Source organism: Homo sapiens, chromosome 2 (assembly GCF_000001405.40).
Source record: "Homo sapiens chromosome 2, GRCh38.p14 Primary Assembly".
NCBI classification, from domain to species: domain Eukaryota; kingdom Metazoa; phylum Chordata; class Mammalia; order Primates; family Hominidae; genus Homo; species Homo sapiens.
Genome location: NC_000002.12, coordinates 25433001 through 25457319, shown reverse-complemented (window position 1 = coordinate 25457319; position 24319 = coordinate 25433001). Strand labels below are relative to the sequence as shown.

The window sequence follows — 24319 nt, the reverse complement described above, 5'->3', positions numbered from 1 at the left end:
AAAACTACAGGGCCAGGCACAGTGGCTCACACCTGTATTCTCAGCACACTGGGAGGCCAAGGTGGGTGGATCACCTGAGGTCAGGAGTTCGAGACCATCCTGGCCAACATGGTGAAACCCCGTCTCTACTAAAAATACAAAAATTAGCTGGGCGTGGTGGCGCACGCCTATAATCCCAGCTACACAGGAGACTGAGGCAGGAGAATCACTTGAACTTGGGAGGCGGAGGTTTCAGTGAGCTGAGATTGCACCACTGCACTCCAGCCTGGGTGACAGAGTGATACTCCGTCTCAAAAAAAGAAAAAAAAGAAAAAAAACTAGAGCATTTTATTGTGCTAGAAAGCAGGAAAGCTAATAAGGTCTAATGGTTATATCAAAAGAACACAAGAGCCTATTACAGGAGCTCCCACTGGCCAAAGGTAGGAGAGTTTGAGCTTCAGAAAGGTGACTGGGGCCGGGCGCAGTGGCTCACACCTGTAATCCCAGCACTTTGAGAAGCTGAGGCAGGGAGATCACTTGAGGTCAGGAGTTCAAGACCAGCCTGGCCAACAGAGGCGAAAACCCGTCTCTACTAAAAATACAAAAATTAGCTGGTGGTGCACGCCTGTAATCCCAGCTACTTGGGAGGCTGAGACAGGAGAATCGCTTGAACCCAGGAGGCAGAGGTTGCAGTGACCCGAGATCATGCCATTGCACTCTAGCCTGGGAGACAAAGCGAGACTCTGTCTCAAAAAAACAAAAAAACAAAAACAAAAAAAAACCCAGAAATGTATCAGTCACATACAAACATAAAAGAAACCTACCAGCCATTTGCAAAGTGGGGACTTTGTTTGGATCTTGACTTTAATTGTAAATGGACATTTTTTAAGATTTGAGGAAATTGGCAGATGGACTGGGATACTAAAATATTTTTGTCTGTGTTTTTAGGTGTGATAATGGTGTTAGGTTGTGTGAAATGTTTTTACTATCTGATAGATGTACAGGCTCAAGTATTCCCAGGTGAAATAATTGCCTGGGGTTTGCTTTTAGCCACTCGTCCCTGCACAAAATGTTGGAGGAATGAAAATTCGATTAGATAACATTGACAAAATGTTGACATTCATTCAAGTTTTGCTATGGGTACCTGAGGGGTAGTCATTAGATTACTCTATTTTATGCAAGTTTTAATATTTCTGTAGTAAAAAGTTAGAAGACCATGTGCTTAAGGACCTTTCATGTATCTATAAGAGAGAGCCTCACTCAGAGTATATAGTGTTGCCTTATAATTAGGCGCAGTTCTAATGAGTTTGGGATGGGTACCAGTTTTATGGGAGAAATAGACTGATGCTAAAGGCAGTATCCTTATAGAAATAAAAATGTTTAACTGGCAACATGAAGTAACACTGAAAATTCTTAGATGTACACAAAAGCTTATAAAAGCATAGCGCTAGGGGGTCATGTAGTGATATTTAGTAGATTGGCTGTGCCTCAGTTGTCTTGCCAGAAGGCATCTTCTAAAAAGTGCATCATCACAGAGCGCAGCACCCGAACAAAAGTGGTACATGCGGCTCCCCTGCCGACTCAACAGGTTCTTCCCAAGGGCTGTCATGTCAGTGGGCCAGCGCCACTCCTGAAGGACTGCTTTTGTTTAAAGGATTTGAGAGATGGATTCCTGAGGATCTAACACCATATTCCATTATGCATTGTGGGTTTTTTATTGTTTTCCTTATCATGATTTATTATTTTTTAAATTTTTCTTTGAAGTTTGCTCATTTTAATCCATGTTCATTTCTCCCTCTGTATGTGTTTGTGTCACGCTTGCTGTCTTTGCCTCCATTGTTCCTAGGTTACAGTATAGCCAGGATATACCCAGTCACTTGGCCGATGAGCATGCGCTGATAGCCTCCTATGTGGCCCGTCTGCAGCACTGTGCACGGTCAGTGGTGGTGCAGCAGCAGTGGGTAGCCACGGGTGATCAGAGGGAGGGAGAGCTTTGCTACCTGGGGTTGTCAGCTGGAAAAAAAACTGCATGTCAGGTTTTTCTTGAGCAGCTACCAGCTATGTTTGGCAGAGTTAAAATAGTTGCTAAGCATTAGCTTCTACAAGAGAGGGAGGCTTGCCAAGCCTGGGCGCTGACCTAAACATGGAGTCAGACATTCTCCTTTAAAGTGGGGTTCACTTCCTTCAGCTTACACTCAAAAAATATATAAACCTATGAGGGATCGCAGTACTCACAGAGGTATCTGATGCAACCTCTTCCTGTTCATTCTTACCTAACTAATGAAATCTTTCTATTGACATTCCAAGTTTAGAGTTGATCAACCCACAGATATCCCACTTTGTCTTATCTGGGGACTTTGATACTGTCACCCTATTACATCTTTACCACCCTTTATCTGTTAGCAGGAATCTGTCAGTGTTGATTATTTAAACCGGTGATTCCCAACAATGGTATTGGGTCACTGTCACCTGAGGGTCTTTTTCCAAATTATGTAGACCCTCTCATATTATAATAGTTACATGTATTATAATAGCTCCACATTCCCCTTACCCTGAAAACTACTGCGGTAGTGACTCACTGTTAATAAGAGAATGTGTCTGATTCTTCAGTGGTTTGGGATGGAAAAACGTTTGATAACTGCTAACTATAGCAAAGTTAATCCTTTTTTTAAAAGATTTAATACCGAAAAAAGTGGTATTACTTTCAGGTAGGTCCAAAGTCTCCTGCTCACTCCATGCCCACACCCACCACCATTCTTCAAGTAGGATGACAGGTAAAGTTTAAGCAATCTAAAGCCATCCTTCCCCTACATAACAGCAAAGAAGAATCACAGTGCCAAACAACTTGGAAAGCCATGCTTTGAGATTCTTGTTCTTAGAGAGAAAACCATAATTTATAAGCTGTACACATAACAGAGGCTGAAGCTTTAAATTTTGATCTTAGTTTTGCTTATAGCATGCCATGGCTCCTTGGGAGGGTCATCTGACCTTGCTGCTACTTCCCCTAATAACAGAAGAATAAATTAATAGTCAGTTGGGAAATATACATATGAAAAAGACTTTTAAATATTATACTTTATACCGTTTTCCATAGTTTTCCTGATATGACTAAATAGCATCACTATTCTGGGGTATTTATGTATCTCTAAAGCTTGGAGAAGTAGAGTTTTCTTTTCTTTTTTTTTTTTTTTGAGACAGAGTCTCACTGTGTCGTCCAGGTTGGAGCGCAGTGGTGCCATCTCAGCTCACTGCAAGCTCTGCCTCCCGGCTTCATGCCATTCTCCTGCCTCAACCTCCCGAGTAGCTGGGACCACAGGCGCTCATCACCACACCCAGCTAATTTTTTTGTATATTTTTAGTAGAGACGGGGTCTCACTGTGTTAGCCAGGATGGTCCCGATCTCCTGACCTCGTGATCCGCCGGCCTCAGCCTCCCAAAGTGCTGGGATTACAGGCATGAGCCACTACGCCCGGCTGAGAAGTAGGGTTTTCTAAGCTTCTAAATATGTTTAATAGGCTTACCCTCTAGGAGGGAAGGAAGGGCCTGATAATTGTGTGCACTGCATCACAGAGTGTCTCCTCATCCAACAGATGATTTCTTTGCACACTGTCCCAGCCTCTTGGTCTCTAGGAACAGAGTTGTTTCACCCTAGGCAAGACAAATTCTTTATTATCACTAAAGGCAATTGTCCAGAGTGAGCAAAAGTTTCCATGGTAAAAATAGCAGCAGAATGTTTGACAAGAGACTGTTACCTAGTAATTTAGCCCAATAAGATTTATGGTAGGTTTAGCTAAGGCCCTGAAGTCTCACCTTGGCTCCCTGAACAAAAATTGGTGGCTGGTAGCCCTGGGAGAACATGATGAGTGAGTGAGTACTACATGACTTCTTGATTAGTAATCTAAGAAGCTGAGCTTCATACTTCTTCCGAGAAGTCAGAACTTTTCTGGCTAACTAATTCTGAAAATGAAAGTCAATTCAAACAGAAGAATAAGGATCCTTTCTAATCATTGACCTTAAAACCTCTCATCAACACAAGCTTCTAGTTTCTGGCTAGAAAACATAGCCAATTAAAGCAGTCTGTCATCCACACTCATGTATAAATGACAAATAGGATCAACCTTCCTAAGGAGATAGAATGTGATTGAGAAAAAGGAGCTCTTTTGCACAGAAGAACCTATTGTATCCCTTGCCAGATAACAGAGGTCAGCCACTTTAGGCCCCACTTCTTCGGCTACCAATCCCTCCATAATATGATCCACTTGTATCGTTAAGCATTCATTTTTATTGTTTTTTTTTTAATTTAAAAGATAGTTCTCTTATTTCAGACAAATACCTTTAAAGCACAAATATTATAGTTTATCTCTCACCTTGGGGCCTTGACCCTAAAATATTAAAGCCGCCTAATAGTAGTCTGTTCTTATTACAAGATCATTTTTGAGAGGGTGATCATCCTGAAGATGGATATTTGCATGCTTAAAATTATAAAGTGTTGACAAATGTCATAGGCGAAGACTCGAAGCACTTAAAAAAAAATCCCAGAAGAAAGACTAAGTTAAGCTTAAAGACTTAGCCAAAGAGATAGAAAGATTAAAAAAAAAAAAACTAGAAAAAATATAGTTGATTCTACACATGAAAAGTTCAGACAGGTCTTTATTGATTTAGCCACACCCTTCCCAGATTCCCCTCAGTAATTATAACAAACTTCGATGAGTATTGAAGTCATGTCTTTAAATTTTTCTGTATGACTTGTCATACTGCCAAACTCTGATCAAGGGTTTTTGGAAACCCAAGAACATAGGGCCAAAGTGGAGGTAAGCCACAACAGCCACCTCTGGTCATTTAGTCAACATCATCACTGTCGTCTTAAAGCATCTGCCAGTCCTAAACAGAGAATTATATAGCCACAGTCCCTATTAATCTAGGACTGTCTTGATAAGGATAAATAGCATTTGGTATACTAAAGAAGTCATGTATTTCAGAATCAGAAGTTCCATATCAGCATCCCATATGCAGAGCCAGCCTATTACTCAAGAACCCTTCCCTCATCCAGATACCACATTGTCTGATAGCCTGTCTGAATGGGTCCTTAGATTTTTAGAGTATTGGTACTCTTGTTGAAAAGTAATGCATTAAACTAATTAACTCCAAGATGGGGCTATAGATGTAGAATGAGCATAGTAAAGGAAGAGAAAGGGGCATGAAAAGGGGAATATTTGATGTCATGGAATCTTTCCAGCTTTACAGTGTGTTTGGCCTGCCCTGGCAAGGCCAAACTTTTGCTTAGCCAGTGTTAAGTATATTTTTTCTCAGCCCTCTGTTTTTCATGATGCTTTAGTTTTCTCTTGGTCTTTTTGAATTTGAGATCAAGGTCTAAAAAGTCATCAGTTTTAAACATTTGGTTAGAAATCCCTGCCTCAGACTTTGTGGGTGCCCTGTGTTTTCTCAGGCCTTGCATTCAAAATGAAGTGCCCCTTTGATGGTGGAGGAGCAGCGGGGATGTGCTGCCAGTGAGGAATGACAAATGTGGCCTCCTCATTTCTCTAAATCCCCTTTTTTTCAGAAGACCATTAGTATCTATGACCCAGGCCTCTAGTTCTTTTATTACCATTCTTTTATGAGCTTTTCTTCCATCTGTTCTTTCTGAGAATGGAACAAGAATAAGGGATGTTTAATAGACACTTGTTGCATTTTTATTTCCTTGGCAGTGTTCTGGACAGTCCTAGCCGACTGGATGAGGAACACCGTCTTATAGCTCGCTATGCTGCCCGGCTGGCTGCAGAAGCAGGAAACGTGGTAAGTTAATGGAGGATCCCAGGAGAGTAGCAGAAATTAGCATTACTTTAATATGCAAATGGAAAGGGAATAGTAGACATGAAATTTAGGAGAACAGGTACCTCGGGGACACTTTCCACTTTTCCACATGCTAAGAGTAGAAGGAAACTTCCTCACCCTGATAAAGAACACCTACAAAAACCTACAGTTAAGATCACACCTACAGTTTAAATTTTGAAATATTTCCCCCTAATATTGGGAACAATTCAGAGATATCCACTTTCACCACCTCTATTCTAAATTATACTGGAGGACCTAATTAATGCAACAAGACAAGAAGAAAGGGGTATAAATATTGGAAAGACAGAAGTAAAGCAGTCTTTATTTGAAGATGACATGATTGTGCATATGAAGTCCTAAGAAATCTAAAAAAACACTAGTAGAACAGATAAGTAAATTTTATAGTATTGCTACAAGATATAAAGTGTATATCCCAGCACCTTGGGAGGCTGAGGCGGGCAGATCACTTGAGCTCAGGAGTTTGAGACCACCCTCTGGCAGCATAGTGAAATGCTGTCTCTATAAAAAATACAAAAATTAGCCAGGTGTGGTAGCACGCACCTGTAGTCCCAGATGCTGGGAAGGCTGAGGTGGGAAGATTAGTTGAGCCCGGGGAGGTCAAGGCTGCAGTGAGCCATGATTGTTCCACTGCACTCCAGCCTGGGCAACAGAGCAAGACCCTGTCTCACAAAAAGAAAAATACTATTTACTGTAGCATTAAAAATACCAAATACTTATGGATAAATTTAATGGAAGATGTTCAAGTCTGAAAACTGTAAAACATTGCTAAAAGAAATTAAAGAAAACCTAAATAAATGAAGAGGTATGCCATATTGATGGATTAAAAGATTTAATATTGTTAGGATGGCAGATTTTCCTAAATTGATCTATAGATTTAATACCAATTCAAATCTCAACAGGCTTTTTTATAGAAATTAGCAAACTGTTTTTAAAATGTATTTGGAGAACCAAAGGACCTAGAATAACCATAACAGTCTTGAAAAAGAAAAACAAAGTTGGCAGACTTAATCCTACTTGACATTAAGACTTACTATAAAGCTATAGTAATCAAGAAAGTAAGATACTGGCAAAAGGATGAACAAATAAATCAAAGGAACAGAATAGAGTATCCATAAAAGACACTCATGTGTAAGGTCAAATGACTTTCAACAAAGGTAAGAAGCAAATCAGTCAGAAAAGGAAACTCTTTCTATTTTTAACAAATGCTGTTGGAACAACTGGATATCTACACAGGGAAGAAAAGAATCTCAACCCCTGCCTCATACCATACAAATAAATCAATTTGAAATGTATCATAAACTTAAACATAAAAGCTAAAACCATAAAGCTACTAAAAGTATAGGAGAATAATTCTTCATTCTCTTAGGAAGAATAAAAATTCATTAGAGTTTATAGGGATCACAAACCATTTTAAAAATTGATAAATTAGACCCTATCAAATGTAAAATCTTTTGCTCATTAGAAGATACTATTCAAGGCAGGCGGGTCACAAGGTCAGGAGATCGAGACTATCCTGGCTAACACGGTGAAACCCCATATCTACTAAAAATACAAAAAATTAGCCGGGCGTGGCAGTGTGCGCCTGTAGTCCCAGCTACTTGGGAGGCTAAGGCAGGAGGATGGCATGAACCTGGGAGGTGGAGCTTGCAGTGAGCCAAGATCACGCCACTGTACTCCACCCTGGGTGACAGAGCGAGACTCTGTCAAAAAAAAAAAAAAGAAAAAGAAAAACAGACAAACCACTATCTGAAAGAAAATATTTGCAAAACATGTCTGACAAAGGACAGAATATATAAAGAATTCCTGCACCTCAGCAATAAAAAGACAAGCCTTTTTTAAAAAATGAGCAAAAGACTTGAACAGATATTCCACAAAGAAGATATGCCAGTGGCCAATAAGCACATGAAAATGTGCTTGATATCATTAATCATCAGGAAAATGCCAATGATACCACTGTATACCCACCAGAATGGCTACAATGAAAAAGTTGGATGATACCAAATGTTGGAGAGGATGTGGAGCAACCAGAAATCTCACCCTGTTGTTGGCGGGCCTATAAAATCATACAGCTACTTTGGAAAACTATTTGGCAGTTTCTTAAAGAAGCAAAATTTATACTATGACCCAGCAATTCTACTCTTAGATATTTATCCAAGAGAAATGAAAACATGTTCACAAAAAGCGTTGTACAAGAATGTTCATAGCAGTTCAATTCATAATAGCTGGAATAGCCCACGTAGTTATCAACAGAATAGATAAACAAGATGTGTTATATTCATACAATAGAATTGTCTCAACACAAAAAGGAATAACATTGATACATGCAACGACATTGGTGAATATCAAAAATATTATGAGTAGTAAAAGAAGCCAGACAAAAAAAGTACGTACTGTTTTTTTCTATGTGAAATTCTAGAATAGGCAAACTAACTTATCCTTTGCCATAAGTTAATCATCAACTCCTAATCATAATCAGATAAGAGGCTGTTTCTAGAAATGGAAATATTGAAGAGAGACGAGGAAACTTTCTGACTTGATAGAAATATTCCACATTTCAATAGGGGTGTGGGTTGCAGGAGTGTACATTTGTCAAAACGGATTAAATGAAATACTTTTTTTTTTTTTTTTTTTTGAGATGGAATCTTGCTCTGTCGCCCAGGTTGGAGTGCAATGTGGCACGATCTCAGCTCACTGCAAGCTCTGCCTCCTGGGTTCACACCATTCTCCTGCCTCAGCCTCCTGAGTAGCTGGGACTACAGGTGCCCGCCACCACGCCCGGCTAATTTTTTGTATTTTTAGTAGAGATGGGGTTTCACCGTGTTAGCCAGGATGGTCTCGATCTCCTGACCTCATGATCCGCCTGCCTCGGCCTCCCAAAGTGCTGGGATTACAGGCGTGAGCCACCGCGCCCGTCAATGGAATACTTAAGATCTAAGTATTATATCTCAATTAAAACAAAAAGGAACCAAGAATGTTGAATAAGGGTTTGATTGAAATAGGAAGTGGCTCCCCAGGGATTTGCAGTGTGTTTCCTGCAATTTTGAAATATTCATAATAAAATGTTTTCTCTTTTCCTTCTCCTTTTTCAATTCTTTACTTTCTTTGAGGAGTTATGTTCACATTAATATTCACCCACCCCCAACCAGCCACACACACTCATTTTATTCATTCAGCAAATACTTCTTTTGTTGCTGTACTGTGCCAGATTGGATACTATGGTGGACAAATGATTCCTGCCCTCATGGAACTAACAGTGTAGTGACAGAGACAAACATTAAACAAATAATCACACTACTAAACATAACTACAAATTATTATGTGCAGTGGAGGAAAAATGCAGGGAGCTGTGGAAGTGTAGAGCAGGTGCCTGATCTATTCTGGAGAGTAAGGGATAGCTTCTGTGAGAAAGTGTTACTTGAGTTGGGATCTGAAAATAAGTAGAAGAGAATTCAATTTCCTAGGAATTGAAAAGTAACTGAAAACCAAAGCAGGCCAAGAGCTACTGTTGCTGTCACTACTACTGCCACCCCTGCCCTGTGCTTGAATGTCAATTGTCAGGAATTTGTGTGGCAAAACCTCGGTTACGTGCAAAGTGAAGAGTTGGAAATGAGGTTCTCACATTAAGGTAGGCCCTTGAAGCATTATACCCTTGGTGAATATGTTGTATAAAAGATAACTAGGCCGGGCATGGTGGCTCACTCCTGTAATCCCAGGACTTTGGGAGGCCGAGGTGGGTGGATCACCTGAGGTAAGGAGTTCAAGACCAGCCTGGGCAACATGGTGAAACCCCGTCTCTACTAAAAATACAAAAAAAAATTAGCCAGGTGTGGTGGCATACGCCTGTAATCCCAGCTTCTTGGGAAACTGAGGCAGGAGAATCACTTGAGCCCAGGAGGCAGAGGTTGCAGTGAGCTGAGATCGCACCACTGTACTCCAGCCTGGGCAACAGAGCAAGACTCTTGTCTCAAAAAAAAAAAAAAAAAAAAAAGATAACTAGCTGCCAGCACACAGAAAAAGAAAGCTTATAGGTCTCCTGTTGCAGTGGAAGAAGTCGTCTCCTCTGGAAATTCAAAACCTTAGGCCTGTCTATACTTACTTTGGGTACATTTACATTACGTTATAGTTTGAGAATCACCAAGGTGAAATTTTAACATTAAAACTAACCCCAAGGCACCTGGTAGAAGCAGCACAGTATAAATTTCTGCTTACATTCTCAATTGAGACCTAACAGTGCTCCCACTGAAAGAGTCCAACTAAACTTGAACCCCTGTGCTGACTTTGCAAAATGAGACCCTCAATGGCTTTAGATATTAGAGTTATTGGCTATAAAATAGCTATGTTTAAGATTTCTAAAGACCTAAAAGAAGGAATTAAAAACCTGACAAAATACTGTCTTAAAAGAACAAAGTTGAAAACAAATCACATAGAAATTACAGATTTTTAAAACAAAAGTTATTGAAATTTAAAACTTGGTGGATGGGTTAAATGTCAGATTAGACACATGAATAGAGAATTAGTGAACTAGAAAATATATTTAAGAAAATTTTCCAAAACACAACACAGAAAGATGAAAAATCTGAAACAAGGTCTTCAGATATGGGAGATAGAGAACCAACAGTCATGTAACTGGAATTCCAAAAAAGAAAATAGAATTAGGGTTAAAAAATGTTTGAAGAATTAATGGCTAAGTTTCCAAAATGTGTTCAAGACATTCATTCTCAGATGAATATATCGCAATGAGTCCCCAGATACATAAATAAAAATAATTCTACAACTAGACATATCATAGTGAAACTACAGAATACAAAGATAGAATCCTCAGAAAGCAAACACATAAGACGTTACTTTATCTACAAGGGATTCACTACTAGATTTCTCCCCAGAAACAATACAACAATTTATAAAGGAAAAAAAAAATCCCTTTAAAAACAAAGCCAGATACAGTGGCTCACACCTGTAATCCCAGCACTTTGGGAGGCCAAGGTGGGCAGATTGCTTGAGCCCAGGAGTTCAAGACCAGTCTCAGCAACATAGTGAGACCTCGTCTCTACTAAAAGATGAAAAGTTAGAAAAAAAAAACAAAAATAGCCAGGTGTGGTGGCATGTGCCTGTAGTCACAGCTGCTTGGGAGGCTGACGTGGGAGAATTGCTTGAGCCCAGAAGTTCAAGGTTGCAGTGAACTGTGATCATGCCACTACACTCCAGGCTGGGCAACACAGCAAGACCCTGTCTCAAAAATTAAATAAAACAGTCGATTACATCCAATGTTACCAGTGTTTGTGAAAAAACCTTAAGAATTTTCCTTATAAAAACAGACGGTTGAATAGTATACCAAAAGGAACTAGATGAACTGTCAAAAGGAGAAATAAAGACCCTTTCTCACAAGGACAGAGAGGTCACAGTAAGATTCATCCTAAAAGAGTAATACTAATAGCTAGTATTTATTGAATATTTACTTTGTGCCAGTCATTATTCTAAGTGCTTTGCATGTATTAGCTAGTTTATTATTCAAAACGTTCTTGTTGAGGAAACTAAGCTTCAGAGAGATTAAAAAAAAAAAAAAAAAACTACCCAGGGTCACATGGTGTGCTAAGTGGCCAAGCTGGGACAGGGATACTGTCCTGTCTCCTAACTACTAAGATTTAACTACCGGAGGTTATAATTCGGGAGATAAGGAATTAAACCTAGATGCAAAGAGTGAGATGGAAGGAGGAATGAGCTGAAGCCAAAACAACAGAGTGTCCAAGCATTAACCAGGTAAAGAGAATGAAGTGTATGCCCAGCGGGGTATTTCAGCATATGTAAAGGCCCTGAGGCTGGAGGTCGCATGACCTGAAAGTTGACATTGTGGCTAGAATGCAGAGAACAATGCTGGAATGAAGTCAGACAGGCGGGCTCATGCAGGACCATATTAAACAAACCAGTACGTCCATTTTGGAAATGCGTACCAATTTATGTTTTATCTTCATAGGGAAATAGAGTTACGAAAGCTGCAAATGGGAATTCTTGCTTTGTTTCTCCCCCAAAAAGTAACTTATCCCTTTGAGTTTGTTTAGATTTCAAAATCCTTTCCTTGAAAATCTAATGTCAGCTCACGTATCTGACTCTAACATTACAACTCTAAAGGTTAGTTAGTGAAATGGAACAGAATAGAAGAAAAAGCCTGAGAAAGAAACAGAAAAGTGCTATTTGGTTAGTTAAACCTCAGACATGCCCTCAGTCAGTCACAACTGCTCTAGGTATTTTAGACATTAAAATGTATAAATAAACTTGTTGAGATGGGCCGTGCTATGGTTGGATTTTAAAAATTAAGTATATTTTATGCCGTTATATAGTCTTACTGAGTTTACATAGTACTTTTAAAATGTTGTCAATAAAAGCTCCAAAGCCATTTGACCTTGAAAAGATTTCAGTACTCCCTTACTGCAAACAAGATAAGTCTCTTTACACCTGATAGTTTCTGATGCCAATTCTTTAATTCTTCTGGAAATGATCGTTGTTAGAATGAATACTGATATGTTTGGGCCCTTTCATCTTGGGTTTATTTTGCAGAGTGTAGTTATCTTATAACTATTGAGCCACTCAGGAAGGATTCTTCTTGACTAGAGTTCTGTTATACAGAAACTCCTAATCCTCTAATCTCACATTGATACAAGTGCTTTGCATAAAGTGGGTGTAGTGCTCGAAAGAATTTATTTATAACCTGCCAGATAGGTTTGTATTGATTTTTTTCAAAGACCTTCTTCCACATTGTTAAATAATTTGAGCAGCCAGCAGTGCGCCCTGTAGCATGCTTCAGCGTCCGTGCCATAACTTCTCCCTAGATGGGGAGCGGGGCTGCAGAAACCTCTGTGGGCTGACCTTTGAAGAAAGACATTTCACGTTGCTTATATGAGCCAGGAGAGAGAATTTGTTTTCCTGAAGTGCCTACATTTCTTTTTTTTTTTTTTTTTGAGATGGAGTCTCACTCTGTTGCCCAGGCTGGAGTGCAGTGGCCCAATCTCGGCTTACTGCAACCTCCTCCTCCCAGGTTCAAGAAATTCTCCTGCCTCAGCTTCCTCCCAAGTAGCTGGGATTACAGGCACCTGCCACCACACCCGGCTAATTTTTTGTATGTTTTTAATAGAGACAGGGTTTCACCATGTTGGCCAGGCTGGTCTTGAACTCCTGACGTCAGGTGATCCACCTGCCTCAGCCTCCCAAAGTGCTGGGATTACAGGTGTGAGCCACCGCGCCCGGTCCTAAATTCCTTTTTTAAAAACAAAACTATAATGTGTGGTAAATTGTAGTCGTAATAGCAAATTCTTAAAGTGTCATCACAAACGTCACCAAGATGTAATCAGATGTTTTGTTTACCTTTAAGGGTTTTTTTTCCCTTATAAAAAAATTTAAAATTCATTATGGAAAACTTGGAAGAAAGGTGAAAGAAAGGGGAAACTATCACCCATTGTCATGCTACCTCACACTTAAAATATTTCTGAGCAGCTTTCTTTCAGATCCCAGGCTGCACAGCCCCCATCTCCTTGTCAGCTGCTCCAGGCATGCAGCATTCAGAAATACCCTCATGGCCCATTATAATTAAAGATCGACAGTCTCCTATGATGTTTCGCACACATGTAATGGCTCCAAACCTCCCTACATGTTGTAATCATGTATGAAGTATTTTAAAAATATATAGATCCTTGGCTTTGCCTCAGACCTTCTGAATCAGAATCTCTGGATTTAGGGCCCATCCATTTTTATTGGAAAAAAGAAAACTCCCAGCCTTCTGATTTACGGTGAGCTTGGGAATCACTGCCTTCAACAGCAGATTGGATTTTTGAGAGAGGGTGACAATCCACAGCCCTCTGGGTAGTCTAGGGCAGCTTAGGTGATGGGCAGGCTGCCCCTGGAATATAAAGAAAGCCTAGCTGATACCAGGTGCATCTCTTTGGAACTCATCTTGCCACATTCATACAGATAGGAGTCTCCGAGCTCTTTTTAGGAGGCTCCAGAAATGCATGCTACTGGATTACCGTTTGCTGACTGTGTCGGCATCCCTTGGTTTTATAACATTTGCCCAGTTTGACTCAAAGGGGTCTTATTTATTATCCTGTATTTTTCAGATGTGTCTCCTCTCATTAAGATGATGGAGCTCTGTGAGTCCACCTGAACCTGAGAGAATGCTCCTGTGACAGGAAGTTAGAGGCACCTTGTCCTTCCAAGGACTAAAGGGACCTCAACACCTTATTTGCATGTAATAGTAAATGGATCCCAGTCTGGAGCCTTCATTCTTAAATACAGAGCTTTAACTTTTATAATATGATCCTCTGATCCCTTTTTTGCCTTTCATTGCTCTGGCCTTAACGCCTCCATCCATTCAACCTAACAGTTGCATTCATTGTTAGGTCTTTGATTATTGTTTAATTTTTAGATGATCTCTCACCTTTTGTCTCCTAAACTCATTCAGCTTATATGTTTGTGGCATTTGAGAAGTCTTTTTCCTCCAGATGTTACCCTGCCTGACTGCTTTGACCTAATAACAGAATGAGAAATAACAGCTACCATTTCGAGAGCCATCTGTATTTATAACCCTGTGCTGGATATTTTAGAACTATTACCTCTGGTTCTAACAGCAACTCTGAAGGATAGTTGATTCCCAATGTGACTTTACAAAAAAGGAAACCGAGGCAGAACAAGGTTAAATCATCTTGCCCAAGGTTCCTCAGCTAGATTTGAGATTCAAACACAGGGTTATGTGACTTTAGTTGTGAATGTGGTACCCTTTAAATACCCTTCTGGGATCACTTTCCATTCTTACAGTCAGATATACACTACCAGTGTTTTTTACTTACATAACCAATGTTTTTGGTATTTGGTGCTAAGTAAATTGGTTTTTTTCTTAAAACAACAAAAATGTGCAGGAGTTGTTCTACAATGACCCAGTTCTGTCTGTTTTGACAAGAACTCTGATTCTTAGAGCAGCGCATCGACCTTGGATGCACATTGAAATCACCCGAGAAGTTTTTGAAACTACTGCTGCCTAAGCCCAGTTCCAGACATCAATTTAATTGGTCTTGGATGATACAACCTGAGCACTGGGGGTTTAAAAATCCCTCTAGGTGACTGGAGTGCATGGCCAAGTTTGATAACCACTGACCAAGAGAAACGTTTCTGGACTAGGGATAAGCCAGAGTCACCTGCCATGTTAGATGTGACCCTTAGTTGAAAACCATTAGTTTTGGATAGAGTGCACAAGGCAATAATTTTAGTTTCTCTGTTAATCTATCAGATTCCTCTCTGTAATCTGCCTCTTGGCAAAGGACCAGTACTTTACTCTTTCAGGCCATGTTTTGCACTTTATTAGGCCCTAATTAGCTCAACGTTGAACTAGAAAAGACTAGATGTTGTTGACACTTTAGGCGAACTTGCCAAATATGAGCCAAATCTCTGGGCTTATTAAAAGTTCAAAAATCTGAACCCTGAAGTTTTCTTGTTTTTTGAAACCTGTTTGGTCTGGAATAAGTTAAGAGGAAAAAAAAAATCTGTTTAGGGAAAAGTTGAAAAGGTGCATGTCATCATCTTCCTAGCCAGAATGCAGATTAAATACCATCTCTATCCTAACTTTCTAGGAAACCTTCTTTTCATTTCACAACTTAGGAATGCCTATGATGCCTGAGTGTCTTTGAAAAAAAAAATTTCTGGTTCTTCCTTAGGATTCAGGTTTCCCTGATTGAAAACAACCCTGGCTTTGAATTTGATACAGATTTGGAACTTTTCAGTTTGTAAGTTTTTGTTAAGACCCTGTTAAGTGTTTTGTTTATTACTTCAGAGGTGATCAAGAAACTTCTTGAAAGAGCAAATTCTGCTTAATGGCATGAGAGCTCCATGAAGGAATTTATTAGATACACCCTGATTCTCCACTGCCCTAACACACGATACTGAGTTGCTAATGTCCACATTCAGCACCAGGGGAAATTCGTGCATCACATGACATCGCCTCATTAAAGCTGTCAGCATAACTTTACCAAACAAGTTATATAACAACCAAGAAGCCACTGGTACAGGATAATATTCAGAATGTGACATGTAAAAATTGCAATAAGTAGAATATATTTTTTATGTTGTTGAACAAAAGAAAATTGAAAGAATTAAAGCAATCCAAGGGCCTAGAAGCAAGTGAATTCTCTGATACCTGTGAGTAAGGCTACTTTAGGACAGCCCATGAATCCATTCCTCGGGTTGTTCTGAGCTCCTTGAGAAATGGCCCCAACTGGGTTTTTGGAGTGAACCTGGTTCAATACAGATTGCCTTAGGATGTTCACTGAAAGTTTCGGCTTGCTCTGGACTCCCAGAAAACGTTCAAAGAATCGGGTTGTTACACAGGTGGTTTCATTGTAAGGATGAAAGGAATAGGTTTGGGGAAGTAAATCACTGAGTTGAAGCTTCAGAGATGTCCTTCCACGTGAACCAGGAACCACTCAGGATCCAGGAATCAGTTTATTTGCCTTGAGGTCTTCTGGGTTGAAGCAAAGAGAGGGGAAAGGTAGGCCTGTAGGTGAATGACTTGGTACCCAGTAGGAGTCCTGTTACCTGTACCACAGGTTGGTCAGCAATCAAAAGCTGGCTTAAAATATTTCTGCAGATGTCTGCTGACGTCTGTAGGGGTGATTGTTTTCAAGAATTTGCATTAAAATACTTGAGAGAGAAATAAAATATGGGATAGATGAAGCAAATGTGTCAAAAATCTTTGTAACTGTTTAACCTAGTTTGAGTATATGGAAATACATTATTTTCTCTCCTTTTGCCTATGTTAAAAATACTGTTACTACATTTTTAAATAAGTTAAAATAGGGAACCACAAAAATGATACCTATATACTTGAACATTTCTCTGCATGTCCTCATGTATATTTGGATGTAGGACCAAGCCCATTCACTGAGTGTAGGTCCTCTGGAGCTCCAGGTTGTCTCCTTTGCACAAAATGTTCTCACATGTTGCAAGTTCAGCTTCCTTTTTCAGTCCTTTACAATGAAATGAGAACTTACTAACTTACGATGCAAGAGTACAAAATTTCTCTTTATAATTTTTCCAAATCTTTACAGCTGTCTTACCTTCAGCTAAGTCAGTGCCATTTTATTCTAGAAGCCCATCTCTATGGAGTCTCCAACTCATTCAACTTGGTTTTCCTAGAAATAGAAACCCTCTTTTCATCCTCGTATCTCACTGGTTTATTTGTTATTTAATTAGATGACATAATTGCAAGTGCATTTGTTCCAGTGAGGAACAGACGAGTCTTGTTAAGCACGCAAGCTGTGTTTTCCACAGGAAGCCGAGACCCTTCCAGTATACCTGCTATGCTCACTAAGTAGAGATCAATTAAGAGGCCTTCAGCTTTAGTTTTTTTTCTGGGCATCTTTTGCTCTAGATGCTACAACCCCCGAGTTGCTCACTGGACCTGGGAACTTCCTTGAGTTTTAGTGGTGTGAACATAATGCTTTGACTACCAAGATTCTAGAATTTTATTAAACCCCAGAACCATGTGTCCTCCTTATGAGTAAGCTTTGCAGTGTTTATCTTCAGTTTAAGAGTTCTGCCTTTGCTACTTGCTGGATTTACACATAAGAGGTGTATAATAAGTTTATTAGATACAATTTTATTTTGAGTTATAATTATCAGCATTTGTAGAGCATTGTGCTGCCTCCTACATTATATCATTAAATCCTCTCCACATCACTTTCACTAAATATTCCCATTTTATAGACAAGAAAATAAAGGTATAGTAAAATAACTCAATGTGGCACAGCCAGAAAGTAGCAAAGCTAGGATTACTAATTCGTCTCCCTACTTTCATTCCTCTCCTACTACACTAAATTCTCCACCGAGTAGCCAAAGCAATGTTTATTTTTTAAACCTTATTTTAAAAGTTTTAGATTTACAGAAAAATTTCAAAGATAGTACAGAGAGTTCTCTATAATCTACACCCAGTTTCCCCTATTATTATTTTGAGACGGGGTCTCACTCTGTCACTCAGACTGGAGTGCAGTGGTGTGATCTCAGCTCACTGCAGCCTCAACCTCCCAGGCTTAAGCAATCCTCCCACCTCAGCCCCCTAGTAGCTGGGACTACAGGCACGCGCCACCAAGCCTGGTTAATTTTTTTTGTATTTTTTGTAGAGTAGGGGTTTTGCCGTGTTGACCAGGCTGGTCTCGAACTCCTGGCCTCAAATGACCTCCCACCTCTGTCTCCCAGAGTGCTGGGATTACAGGAGTGAGCAACCCAGCCAAGTTTCCCCTGTTATTAACATCTTGAATTAGTATGGTACATTCATTGCAATTAGTGAAGCAATATTGATACATTATTATTAACTAAAGTCCATACTTTATTCATATTTTCTAAGTTTTTACCTAATGTCCTTCTTCTGTTCCATCCAGGATACATTACATTTAGTTGTCATGTCATCTTAGGCTCCTCTTAGCTGTGACAGTTTCTCTGACTTTCCTTGTTTTTGATGACCATGACAATTTTTAGGAGTACTAGTCAGATATAGACTGTCTAATAACTGTAATTTGTCCGATGTTTATCTCTTGATTAGAACTGGGGTTATGGGTTTGGGAAAGGAAAAGGTAAAGTGCCATTTTCATCATGGCGTATCAAGAGGTACCTACTATCAACATGAGTTGTCACTGTTGATGCTGACCTTGATCACCTGGCTGTGGCAGTGTTCGTCAGGTTTCTCCAACATAAAGTTATTCCTTTTCCTTTCCACACAGACTCTTCGGAAGGAAGTCACTATGCACAGGCTTCTCTTAAGGAATGGGGAGTTAGGCTTCACCTCCTTGAGGGCAGAGTATGTCCATACCTTATTTGGAATTCTTCTGTATGGGAAATTTGTCTGTTCTTCCCCATGTATTAAATTACTCAGCCACTTATTTATGTAAATGTAGAACAGTGTTTTTAACACATATAATCAAATTTCATATTCCCCTGCCCAGAATCCTACAGTGGCTTCACACCACATTCAGAATGAAATGGAAACTCCTCTCCATGGCTCAGAGGCCCTGTATGGTCTAGACCAAGCTTGTCCAACCCATGGCCTGTGGGCTGCATGCAGCCCAGGATGGCTTTGAATGTGGCCCAACAAAAATTCATACATTTTCTTAAAACATTATGAGATTTTTTTGTGATTTGTGTATTTATTTATTTATTTATTTTTAGCTCATCAGCTATCATTAGTTTTTTTGTGTGTGGCCCAAGACACAGTTCTTCCAGTGTGGCCCAGGGAAGCCAAAAGATTGGATACCCCTGGTCTAGACCCTTCATCTCCCCGTGCCTCGCTCTTACCACAGCTTCCTTCCCTCCGTCAGCACTGATCTGAACACCCCAAGCCCAAGCAGCTGCAGGGCCTTGCATTTGCCCTTCTTTCTGCCCAGCAGGCCTTCCCTCAGACCTTCACCTGGTTGGCTTCCTCACTTCATTGAGTCTCTGAGAGCCCTTTCATCACCACCTCATTTAAAAAGAATTTTCTGTCCCGGTTCACTGTTTCCTTACCCTGCATTTCTTTATTGCATTATCCCTGCTGATGTCTATATTTATTTTTTGGGTTTCTTATTTTTCTCCCAGTGTAATCTGAGCTCCATGGGGGTGGGGCTATTCACCAGAACATCCCTAACTGGTAGAGCAGTGCCTGGCACATAGTAGGAGCTCAGGAAGTATCTGTTGAATAAATGTGTGAACTACTTATTTTTTGAAAGAAATCATCTTCATGTCTCTCTGGCCAAAGCATCCTATGTCTTTATGAACTGGATCAACAAAGTCTCCTATGTTGTTATGAAATCATTCCCGTCTTTTTCCCTTCAGTGTCCTGAAGGCATTTTAGGAAGAGACTTGGCTTTTTTCTTCTTCTTCTTCTTAATGAGCACTATGGTGTTTAAGATTGTAAATAAAAGCTGAGTGCGGTGGCTCATGCCTGTAACCCCAGCACTCGGGAAGGCCGAGGTGAGCAGATCACTTGAGGTCAGGAGTTTGAGACCAGCCTAGCCAACATGGTGAAACCCTGTCCCTACTTAAAACACAAAAATTAGCCAGGCATGGTGGCACATGCTGATAATCCCAGCTACTCAGGAGGCTGAGGCAGGAAAATCGCTTGAACCCAGGAGGCGGAGGCTGCAGTGAACCGAGATCATGCCACTGCACTCCAGCTTGGGCGACACAGCAAGATTCTGTCTCAAAAAAAAAAAAAAGTACATAGATAAAAGTTCTAAGTTTCTGTTATTTGATGTATACTTGACTGTATTTAAAGTTTGATTGAGTGAGATAAGCCATCACTGGACACTCATCACTGAGGAGTCCTGCCGGGACACCAGCTGCCCCTAGGGGAACTGCTGCCTCAGGATTGGAACCTTCCTCCACCCCTACTTCTTTATATTTGCATTACAGTGCTTCTTGGAGCCAACCAGTCTTACCTGATTAGGAATCTCTGTTGATAATGACTTGATTCCTATATTAACCTCCTCTGTGGAAGATCCCTTGGCTTTGCAGTTACTCAAAACCAGAAAGCTTCTCTAGATACTTCCAGAGAAGTGCCACAGGGCTTCTTTTCATCATCATATGAAGCAAATTTCTTTCAGAGCTTACCTCCTGACCCATAATTTTCCCTCGTCTCACTCTATTAAGCAGCTGTTACTTTTAGCTCCAGTTTTCAGGAATTGCAAACCTGTTCTTCACAGCCAGCCTCAGTCTCAAGCAAGCTACTTTTCTGAGACTCAACTCAGGCTCTCACAAGACTGACTACAATATAGAAAATTTACTCAGTAGGCTGCCAGTCCATGCTTCTCTGGAGGAAGAAAAATCATCTTGGTTTTTTTTTTCTTTTAAAAAAGAAAAACACTTGATAATTTGGTAAAAAGCCTCTTACCCAGATTTGCTATGCTGTTTTGCCCTTGTTTATTTAGAAACTGCCACATGAAAAGACTTACTGAATCTTCATGCTCTAGACAGGAAACAAGGTCTTCATGGTACAACATGTTTCAGGCAGAGCCAAGAGTGTACAGAGTGAAGCAGGGTCATCGTGGAGCCCTCAGTGAGAGCTGCCTTTCTGGTTAATCAATAAAAGGGAGCCACCACCTACTCATGTTCATTGGCTACCATATTCTTTTTTTTTTCTTTTTTCCCCAGATGGAGTCTCGCTCTGTCACCCAGGCTGGAGTGCAGTGGCACAATCTCAGCTCACTATAACCACCACCTCCCAGGTTCAAGCAATTCTTCTGCCTCAGCCTCCCAAGTAGCTGAGATTACAGGCGCCCACCACCACACCTGGCTAATTTTTGTATTTTTACTAGAGACAAGGTTTCACCATGTTGGCCATGCTGGTCTTGAACTCCTGACCTCATGATCCTCCTGCCTCGGCTTCCCGAAGTGCTGGATTACAAGTGTGAGCCACCGCACCTGCTGGCTACCATATTCTTAAAGGAGTTAACAAGGGTCAGAAATATCAGTGGATATGCAAATCACAATCACATAATTTCTCCACAAAACATATACAAATGGCCAGTAAGCACATGAAAGTACGCTCAACATACTAGTCATTGGGGAAATACGAATTGCCTTACAATGAGATACCACTTCACACCCATTAGGATGATGTGGAAAAAATAGAACCTTGATACATTGCTGGCAGGAATGTAAAATAATACAGTCACTTTTGAAAACAGTTTGGCAGTTTCTCAAAAGGCAGTTACCATATGACCCAGTAATTCCATTCCTAGGTACGTACACAAGAGAAATAATAACATAACTCAACATACATGCTCAAAGCAGCACTATTCAAAACAGCTGAAAAGTGGTAACAACCCAAATGTTCATCAGCTGATGAATGGGTAAACAAATAGTGGTATATCCATGTAATGGAATATTATTCAGCTGTAAAAGGGAATGAAGTACTGATATGTGGTACAACATGGGTGAACTTTAAAAACATTTTGCTAAGTGAAAAAAGATAGACATAAAAGGTCAATATTGTATGGCTCCATTTATATGAAATATCCAGAATAGGCAAATTCATAGAGATGGATAATGGAGGTCAAGGGCGAGGGAAGGGGGATGGGGAATGACTACTTAATGGGTATGCTGTTTCTTTTTGGGGTGGTGGCTTCACAACCTCATGAATACATTAAAACTACTGAATTCGGCCAAGCCTGATGGCTCACACCTGTAATCCCAGGACTTTGGGAGGCCAAGGTGGGTGGATTATTTGAGGTCAGGAGTTTGAGACCAGCCTCGCCAATATGGTGAAACCCTGTCTCTACTAAAAATACAAACAATGAGCTGAGCATGGTGGTGCACACCTGTAGTCCCAGCTACCCGGGAGGCTGAGGCAGGAGAATTGCTTGAACTCGGGAGGCAGAGGTTGCAGTGAACTAAGATCATGCCGTTGCAGTCCAGCCTGGTGACAGAGTGAGACTCTGTCTCAAAAAGGAAAAAAAATTACTGAATTATATGCTTTTTAAAAGTGGATTTTATGGTAGGAAAATTATATCTTAATTTTTAAAAAATTTACTATTGAGAACTTGATACCTACTAGGATGGTTAAAAGAAAAAAGTAGTAAGTAAATAAAAAATAAAAAGTAAATAAAACAACAGGTGTTGGTGAAGATGTAGAGAAATTGGAAATCTCATTTATTATTAATGCAATTGTAAAATGGTACAGCCACTTTAGAAAGCAGTTTGGGAGTTCCTCAGATGTTAATTATAGTTATCATATAATTCAGCAATTTTACTCCTAGGTGTCTACCCAAGAGAAATGAAAACATACATAGACAAATACTTGTGAATGAAAGTTCATAGCATCTTCATTTGTAATAACCAAAAGCTGGAAACAATAGATAATAACCAAAAGCTGGAAACAATAGAATACTATACAGCAATAAAAAAGAAGGGACTACTAGGCCAGGCACGGTGGCATGTGCCTTTAGTCCCATCTACTCAGAGGCCAAGGTGAGAGCCCAGGAGTTCAAGAGTGCAGTGAGCTGTGATCATGCCACTGCATCCTGCATACCAGCCTGTGTGATAGAGCAAGACCTTATCTCAAAAAAAAAAAAAAAAAAAAAAGACTAGTTCATGGAAAAACATGAATTAACCCCAAAAACATTATGCCAAGTGGAAGCCAGAAACCAAAGACTATGTGTTTATATGAAGTTTCTAGAAAAGGCAGAACTATAGACAGAAAGCAGACGCATGGCTGCCTGAGGTTGGGGGTGGGAGTGGCGACTGGTGACAAACTGGCATGAGGGAATTTTTTGCGGTGATGGAAAATGTTCTAAAACTGGACTGTGGTGATTGGTTGCACAACTGTTTAAATTTACTAAGACTCATTGAATTGTATACTTAAAACGGGTGGATTTATGATATGTAAATTATATGTCAAAAATCTTTTTTAAAAATCAGTCAATCTAGAACTCTGGGTATATTTGGATCAGAAAAAAAAAAACTTTCTCCCGACTTCCCCACTTTAGACTCGTCCTCCCACTGACTTGAGCTTTAACTTTGATGCCAACAAACAACAAAGACAGCTTATTGCAGAACTGGAAAACAAAAACAGGTAAGAACGCAGAGGCTGAGCCCACTTCCAGAGTCCAGGATTATCACGTGCGTATCTGATTCTCATTTTCCTTGGATACTAGGTGGCTTTTGACCGCCAAGGAAGACCTTGCCTCAGTGAACCTAGGCTAGCCCAAGTCCAGGGAATGCCCTGGACGCTGATTTGTGTCTGTCTGCATGCTGTTGATTCTGGTAGTCCACAGCTCTGCTCACCTGCCCTCGGGGGATTCCTTTTAGCAGGGCCTCCTCCCACCCATCCGTGTGACCCCCTCTCACAATTGCGTTTTCCACTCTGCTTCCCAGCAACATTTTGCTGTATCTAGTCATCTTGTCCTGACCCATTATGCTATGTAGGACTGTCTGGTCTCTCCTTAAAAAAAAAAAAAAATTAATGCCATTTAACGGCACAGAGAGCAGACAGCACACCATTATGTACTGAAAGGTAGAAGCCAGGATGTGGAGACCCGACCTAAGGTAACAGGCATAGATAGAAGCAACATAGCTGTCTACTGGGGCATCGGGGACAGAGGGAAGGAAGGGGCAGGGAAGGATTAAGGGAAGTCAGCACAGGACCTGCATTAGGAGGTTGCAAGGAGTTCCCTTTTCCTCCTGCCTGAGTGGAACGGAGTAAATAAAGTATTCTGGCTGTAATTTTCCTTTCTTGGAGATTTTTCAGGTCCTTGAGAAGAGTATTTTTATGACTTTTTCCACCACAAAGGATTGCTTTGTTGAGGAAATGTCAGGTGAAGCAGTATTGAGAAGGTGTCCATTTCACCTCTTGGCCATTTGGAAGCAATCAAAACAAGATTGGTAGAGGAGGCACTGCTAGAGTTGAAAAGTTGTAATAGGGAAAGAGGGAGCGTGAGTGAGAAGCACTGTGCAGCCCCTTTCCGTTCACCCATCCTCTCTA

The 24319-nt window shown here is 40.3% G+C and overlaps 1 protein-coding gene and 1 long non-coding RNA gene across 32 annotated transcripts in view, besides 1 other annotated feature; one reads left to right on the top strand and one right to left on the bottom strand.

Moving 5' to 3' along the window:
* The window catches only part of DTNB (dystrobrevin beta), a 296335-nt gene that overhangs the window by 216258 nt on the left and 55758 nt on the right, over window positions 1-24319 (top strand). For 16 of the 30 annotated variants that reach the window (NR_147180.2, NM_001351393.2, NM_001351392.2 and 13 more), the window contains 2 exons: window positions 5685-5772; window positions 23325-23410. Coding sequence is in view for 29 of the 30 variants with exons in the window: in NM_001351393.2 (NP_001338322.1) it covers window positions 5685-5772; window positions 23325-23410 (174 nt within the window). In the remaining variant the exon portion in view is untranslated. Of the gene's footprint in view, window positions 1-1825; window positions 1916-5684; window positions 5773-23324; window positions 23411-24319 lie in introns of all 30 variants that reach the window. The other 14 variants (NM_001320935.2, NM_001394686.1, NM_001320932.2 and 11 more) reach the window with 1 other exon arrangement.
* Window positions 4068-4127: an enhancer, noted in NCBI's record as "active region_15457". NCBI's record gives its function as "activates an Ori minimal core promoter by ATAC-STARR-seq in GM12878 lymphoblastoid cells {active_cell/tissue: GM12878}" and the evidence as "EXISTENCE:reporter gene assay evidence [ECO:0000049][PMID:35858748]".
* On the bottom strand, window positions 15685-24219 carry LOC124900608 (uncharacterized). 2 transcript variants are annotated; one of them, XR_007086248.1, is made up of 3 exons: window positions 17164-17254; window positions 16926-17000; window positions 15685-16835 (listed from the first exon to the last, which is right to left on the bottom strand). It is a non-coding gene; the product is annotated as an uncharacterized LOC124900608 (long non-coding RNA). The 2 variants fall into 2 exon arrangements; XR_007086247.1 differs by having other exon boundaries at window positions 16926-24219.